Below are 7,612 nucleotides of genomic sequence, written 5' to 3'. Positions count from 1 at the left end.
AGGCGGTTGCTCAGAGTGGGTGGGGGAGGGTCCACTGTTCTCTGTGCCTAGTTTCATTCCTACAATAGTGTTGGCACAAGGGTGGGGCACTGGCAAGGGCCTGGCTGGCAGGCTCTTTGCCCACCAAGGCTCTGACTGCAATGGTGGTCAGTGGAGGCAGGACAAGATGTACACATACACACATGTTAGTGGGGCAAGGAAGGCAGAAGCTACCCATCCACACACATGTTGGCAAAGTGATGTGGGGAGTTGCTGTGGGCCTGGGGGAAGCTGCAGTGTGGGGTGGGAATGGATGAACTGGTGCATGGGTTGGTGCATGGGCTGCCCCACTGGAGCTCTTCACCAGTCAGGCATGGTTTGCCAGGGCAAGAGCTGTGATGTGAGCCCCTGGGGCATCCGAGGCTGCCCTGCAAGCAGGCGTGGCCAGACCTGGGCCCCAGAACGGGCCAGCAGACCAAGGGGTGCTTGAGTCACACTAGCCCCATCTGATAGGCAAGACTACCCTGCAGAGTTCACGCCCCACAGCTCCCATAGGGCTAGTCTCCTATGGGAGCAAGTCGAGCCAAGGGGAGTTGGCAATCCCTGAGCATGCTCCACTATAGATGCTCTGGGCTCTACATCAACTGGCTTGTTGCCCCTACCACTTTTCTAAGCAGCTCTCCCTGACAACTTGAGTGTCCATAGTGGTCAAGGGGTCTCCGTCTGCTGGGGTCCCAGAGAGGCCTTGATGAGGGCAAGTTGCTCCTTGCCAGCTCAACTCACCCATTCCTCTGGAGTCATTGGGGATCAGGCATGAGTACTGGTGCATGGTAGCCTCTAGCTCCATGTAGGGTTCCCAGCTTCCTCCCCATTCAGCCCACTTCAGTGTCTTCCCTCTGTCCACTGGTGGTGCCTTCCCTCTGAAGATCTGTTGGAAGTATGCCAGCTGTCTTGGTCCCTTGGTGGCAGATCTTCCACCTGGCTGAGTCCAGTTGGTCATCTTGCCCTAAGGTATTTTTAACTTTTTAACTTGGGTTGCCCTATCAGAAAGGAAAACAGATTGGGATTGTCAGATTCAGCAAATAGAAATATAGGATGCCCAGGTACACCTGAACTTCAGATAAACAATGAATAATTTTAGTATATGTCCCAAATATGGCATGGACATATTTACATTTAGAAAAATATTTCTTGTTTATCTGAAGTTCAAATTTAACTGGGTGTCCTATATTTTATCTGGAAACTATAAAACATGTCCTCCTGATTCTCCCTTTATCTGGTAGCTCCAAGGCACCATGCCACCCCAGTAAGATACCAGAAGTTATAGCCACACTGCAAAGAATCCTGCACTAGGAGTTCTGATCCTCAGATCTAGCACCCAATGTATGATAGGTGTTTAATTTGACCAAAACACTTACCATCCCTGGGACTTCGCCTCTTCATCTGTAAAAATAGAGATAAGAATTTCTTTCCTATCTTAGTAATTATTGTTGTGAAGTCCAAACAAGATAAATAAAATGAAATTGCTTCCCATAATAGAAAGTTGTTATTTGCATATATGTGAATTTAGGAACCTGATGCTCTGCCTTCTTCCTTGCTCTGAAAGCCAGTCCCACAGATGAGCAGATTGCCTGTGAGCATCTGCATCCCTTACCGTTCCTAAATTCACAGTCTCCTAGAACCACTGCTGTGGATTCAGCCCTTCACAGTAAAGACTAAACAACTAGAATGAGAACTTTTGGTCACCAAAGTGATCCCCTGAGTTGATGACCAGGATTTACTTTCAGACCTCTGCCTAAAACATAATAATGTTTTTTCATCAACACTTTAATACATCTGTTTCTCTGGAGATAGAATTCGTGTTTGTGTACCAGTTGTAGAGAAATCACTTTTTAAATTCAGAGAAAAGTCTCAACACACACATACATACACACACAAAAAAAAATGGGGAAAAAAGAGAGGCTCTGAAATGCTGAGATCTGTGATCACAGCCTTTATTAACAATATGCAACCAGTTCCAGAAAAAAAATTCAAATAAGAACTGGAATAATTATCCATACTTGCTAAGTAAACACTCGATGTGGTTGCTATCAAAATGAAAATTTGTCATGTCTAGTTTGACTCTGAGCACCCATAATTAAGTAGGCTTGGCAGCTGTTTTTAATTCACGCACCTAAGGAGGAAAATTATATGCTTTATCCAGTAAGGGGATTGTGATTTTTATTTTAAATTCTGTCTCTAAGGAATTTCTTACCAGAATGTGAAAGAGTTTTCTTTACTTGTTTAAAGCAAACTGCTCTCGTCAGACTTTATAGGAAGTACCACAATGCAATAGGGAATTTTATTATTTCTGTAGTTTACTTAGCATTTCAAGACATTTACCATTTTAATTATTTTCCTCGAATGTACTGTTGTGTGTATCAATGTAGTGTCACTGCTTCCGCTGGACATTTAAGTGGGTTACGGTCAAGTGTTAAATAACTATTTTTTTTGTTTTTACAAAACACCTATTTTACAACTATCTTCTGCTTCCTGCATGACCATTGTATACTATTAGCCATGTGTGTGGTCTATACCTCTACTTGCATATCATGCAAAGAATAAATTCTGTGAAATTAATTTTCCAGGAAAATAGTATTCAAATATATGTTGTCTAGAAGAAGTAACACTTCTTGTTTTAACTGTGACTTTTAATTCTAATTAAGATTTTCCTTCTTAACCTCCTTGTGTTTAATTTAGAACACGGCCTCAAGACCTTAATATTTTATAATAGTGACTTTACAATAACCAGTTACTGCTTTTTTCCTAAGGTACACAGCACTGGAGAGAAGCAGAGCTAAGGAGGTGAAGTGTCTGTCTGTCTTGCTGAAAGCAGCTGGGAGTGGGAAAAAATAGTCTTGTCCACTTTTGGCTATCTCAAGATGAACATGGAGCTCTCCAGCAGAGGAAATGTCTAGGAGGATAAGGTGACATCTATCAAGTGAACCTACTATGCGAACACATCTGCTGATAGGCCTGACCCATTTCTATCATCTGAGAATCTCAAGTAGCTTGTCCACCAGCCACAGGTTGTTAAACATTGATGGTGGATACTGTAGATGACCTTGCACTGTCCTTCAGAGAAACATGAATCTGAATATTCCCCAATTTGGGAATATCTGGAGATTTTTCAGGCTTAGAGAGGTTTTTTTTTTTTTTTAATTTTTTTTTTTTTTTTTGGTTTGCAGGTCTTTTTAAAGTTGACCGTGCATTAGGGCCATAACAAAGCTAAGCTTTAGAACTAAACAGAGACTGATTATATCTAGAGAATTACAACCCATTCTTAGAAGTAAATTCTTTTTTTTTTGTTGTTGTTGTTGTTGTTGTTGTTTTTGAGACGGAGTCTCGCTCTTTCGCCCAGGCTGGAGTGCAGTGGCGCCATCTCGGCTCACTGCAAGCTCCGCCCCCCGGGGTTCACGCCATTCTCCTGCCTCAGCCTCCCGAGTAGCTGGGACTACAGGCGCCCGCCACCGCGCCCGGCTAATTTTTTGTATTTTTAGTAGAGACGGGGTTTCACCGTGTTAGCCAGGATGGTCTCGATCTCCTGACCTCGTGATCCGCCCGCCTCGGCCTCCCAAAGTGCTGGGATTACAGGCGTGAGCCACCGCGCCCGGCCCTTAGAAGTAAATTCTTACTTGCCACTTTCACTTTGCCATACTCCCTTTTATTAGCCTATCACCTACCTTAGTTTAAAAAAAAAATACACATAAGCACACACACATAAACTTTACATTAGTTAGCTCAAGTTTCTTATGCCCACTTTACAGCTAAGGTACATGTATCTCAAAGAGATGGGGTGACTTCCTCAGGGCTCCACAATGAGTAGTACCCAAACTGGGCCTCCCACCCACCTATCCTGATATCTAGCGCAGTTTCTGCTTCACATCAATGTTGCCTCCTTCTTCTTTCTACTATGGATTTGTAGGTTATTGAAAAAAAACTATCTTTGGAGAATAAAAAATCTTTATAAAATCTAAATGCCAACTTACCAGTTTAAAATTCAAATGGAAGTCTTCCCTAAACTATCATGTAACAAGTGTTCATTCATTGAAAACTATTTATTGGAGCCTACTATGTGCCACACATTTTGATAGGAGCTGAGATAAATTGATGGTCAATTATGAAATAAGATATACTTTCCCTCACATTCGTGAAACCTAAAGTCTGTGAAAGGAGACAATTAAGCAAGCACTGGCAAAACTGCATGATAAATGCTCTTATAAGAGAAGCACAGGGCACTACTGAGAGGCTGTAGAAGGTTCTCACATCATCTTCCACCTAAATGACATTTATGGAGCAGTTACTGCATGCCAAGTATTGTCATTGCTTTGCAAGTATCATCTTATTTAATACACATTCAGGCTTATGCACTCCAGTCATGGATTAGAAAACTGAGGAGACGCTTCAGAGATTAACTGACTCTCCCAGTCACAAAGAAAGAAAGGTGGAGCCCAAATTCAACCAGGCACTATAGTTCAAGTCTACACTGACTAACCTTCCACCTAGGTCAATTATAACCTTCTCAGAGAGAAGATTACGATGTTTTTCTTACTAAAGTAACCCAGAGTTCCGTCCAGTGTGGCAGAAAGGAATAGATTATTGGTTGGCTTGAAATGGAATCTATTACCATTTCTAAACAAACAATTTCACAAAACTGAAATAAGTCCCACAAGAAGATTAATGAAATGTGTCCAAGGCACAGAATTACTTTAATTTTCCAGTTGGTTCACCAGCTGAATCTAAGAGTTTGGTTGCTATCTCTGTTGGACTAAAGTAGAGTTTTTATCTTCTATAAATCAATCAGGACAGTGGAAATCACCAAATGACATCATCATAACCACAGAGTACTTAATAGATGCAGCCTTTGTGTCTTGCTACTTAAGAAACAGCTAAGCTTCAACCATCTTAAAACTTCCCTTTTTGCAGACTGGCCCAGCGCCAAACTTGTAATGACACACAGAGTGATACATTTCCTTATTTCTTTCAAGCTTCTCTTGAGTTTCATTTTTCACAATTTTTTTACCATCTGGACACATTCTACAAACTTTCCATTCACCTTGCTTATAATGCTTTTTTATCAAATAAAATCATTTATTCTTTATTCTTTCGTGGCCAATGTTTTTTCTTTCAGACACTAATTAGGAATCTGAAATATTGCTAGCAATTGAGAGTTAAGGATGGCCAAAGTTTTTCAAGAATAACTAGCCCATTTTGTTTGGTTTTGCTTTGCAATTTAGAAAAGGAAATCACGTTGCTTTTGAAAACAAATGTGGTGAAATTGTAAGCCATGCCATTTTTATTCTGGCCTTCAGTTGAAACTCTCTTTGTGGTCAGCAATGCACACAAAGTCCTGTCTAAATCAGCCTCGAGCAATATACATAGAACATACATCTCATTTTCAATAATAAATATGTTGGCAAACTAGGGCTAGTGGAAATAAAATGACTGTGAAGTAGAATATATTATTTAACTAAATTTATTCAGCACGTGCTTTTGCTTTTTGTATTCTGTTTTTCTCACATATGCCCCAAATCAGAAATTTCTTCCTTTTATGCCTATCTTACCTGTATATTAAAGACATACTTAATTTTCATGAAATTTTTTTTAATGTTTGTTATCTCATATGTTGTTAGGGTAACTGGCAATAAGCCTATCTTCCCAATTATGATGAATATTTGAAGTGACTCTGTAAGTAATTTACAAGTAAAGATTTTTATCTAAAAAAAAGTTATCCACTTCATTTCCTTTTTATCAGTTCTCTGAATGTCTTTTTCCCCCCAAATATTTACACTTTTTTGGGTTTTTTTCAAGGTTTATACTCCTATGGACTTTTTAGAAATAAATATTCTATAAACTCTGAAAGTTTCAAAAGAGGGCTAAAATGTATTTTTATAATCAAAACAGTGCTGAATAGGGTATATCACTTCCAAGCAACTATAATAAAATACAGCTTTTTTGGTTCTATAAGGGAATTGTTGAAATAATATCTTAACGTCATCTACTTTGTCTTTTGAAGAGAGATGAGGAAACTCTGGAAAAAGCAGCTTGCCCCTAGTATGTCAGGTCTACAAGAGAGGGGAGACATTGGATGGAGTGTCCTATGTGGCAGGGAGACCTCCACTCAGCAGGACACGGTGAGAGTTTCTTAAGTGAGTACAATATAAAAATATAATTTGGCAGAGCAAGAGAAATATAAGAAATCAAGCGGAATAATAATAAAGAAAATGATTACCATTCTTTAGGGTGTGCTTATCATATGATTATGTGTCAGACATTCCTCTCAAATGTTGCCATGTTTTAACTCACTTTACCACCATAACAGACCTGGGAAGATCAGAAAACCCATTGGTTTAAGCTACAAATAGAGAAGATGTTGAAACACAGAGAAGGCGTAAGAACTAAAGGGAGACACAACCAAGAAGAAGCAAAGATGGAAGACCATGCAAGAGTGGACTGAGCACAGAGTGGGAGGGTGAGAGCAAGGTTCTTGGTGTCAGGGAATGACTGAAAAGAATAAAGCCAAAGAACTCGTACTCAAGGAGACGGAAGCCTCAAGAGGGCCGAAGCAATGGAAGCTTGACTTAGGGTGGGGGTGTCCTTCAACTTTGTGGAATTATGCTACAAGGCTGTATTTGCCAATTTTCACACTGCTATAAAGAACTATCTGAAGCTGGGTAATTTATAAAGAAAAGAGGTTTAAGTGACTCACAGCTCCGCATGGCTGGGGAGGCATCATGAAACTTACAATCATGGCGGAAGGTAAAGGGGAAGCAAGGCACGTCTTATATGGTGGCAGGAGAGAGCAAGAGTGAGGAAGTGCCACACATTAAAACCATCAGCCCTGGTGAGAACTCACTCACTCTCATGAGAACAGCAGGAAGAAAGCTGCCCCCATGATCTGATAACCTCCCGCCAGGTCCCTCCCTCAACACATGGGGATTACAATTCAAGATGAGAATAGGGTGGGGACACAGAGCCAAACTCTATCAAAGGCATTCTGCTGATCCCTACCACCTGCCAGGCCCTGTCCATTGTCTGCAGCATGAGCCATAAGTATCAGCCCATCAAAAATGTTCATTCCCACCTCCCAGCTTCATCCTTGTACCTCCACTTCCTGTCCTGAAAGAGTTGGAGTTAAGTGGTGAACTTAATACAATTTGGGGTGAGGGTTGAGGGGGCAGAGTGGGCAGAAGGGGGAAACAAGCAGAAGATTTAAAATGAGAAGGCTGAGGCTTTAGTTCCAGTCCTAAAATCTAGGTGACTTTGGGCAAGTTGTTCCTCCTCTCTCGTCCCTTATTAGTTCCTATTTAAATGTCGGCATTGAAGTTAATCTTCTTGAGGTCTGTTCCAGCTCTAATGGATGTTTTCTAAGGCAGTCTAATACAATAGATACAAGCATGCTTTTCATACGTAAAAGCTACTGTTGATTCATTTGATAATAAAATTCACACATAAAAGCTATTAGTGATTAATTTAATAAAATTCCAGGCTTTAAATCCATACTGGTTTAGCTTGAAGTATGGAGGTGTGAATTTAGGTAGTGTGTCAGGGAGATTACTCATCCCAGACAGGTGGTTTGGGTGTTTCCCAGCAG

General features: G+C 40.8%; 1 annotated feature.

Annotated features, from left to right (window-relative positions):
- Positions 2,867 to 3,067: a silencer, noted in NCBI's record as "peak5224 fragment used in MPRA reporter construct". NCBI's record gives its function as "represses an SCP1 promoter by STARR-seq MPRAs in K562 erythroleukemia cells {active_cell/tissue: K562}" and the evidence as "EXISTENCE:reporter gene assay evidence [ECO:0000049][PMID:32103011]".

The sequence above is a fragment of the Homo sapiens genome, chromosome 5 (assembly GCF_000001405.40).
Source record: "Homo sapiens chromosome 5, GRCh38.p14 Primary Assembly".
Taxonomy (NCBI): Eukaryota; Metazoa; Chordata; class Mammalia; order Primates; family Hominidae; genus Homo; species Homo sapiens.
This window is presented reverse-complemented; position numbering and strand designations above follow the sequence as displayed.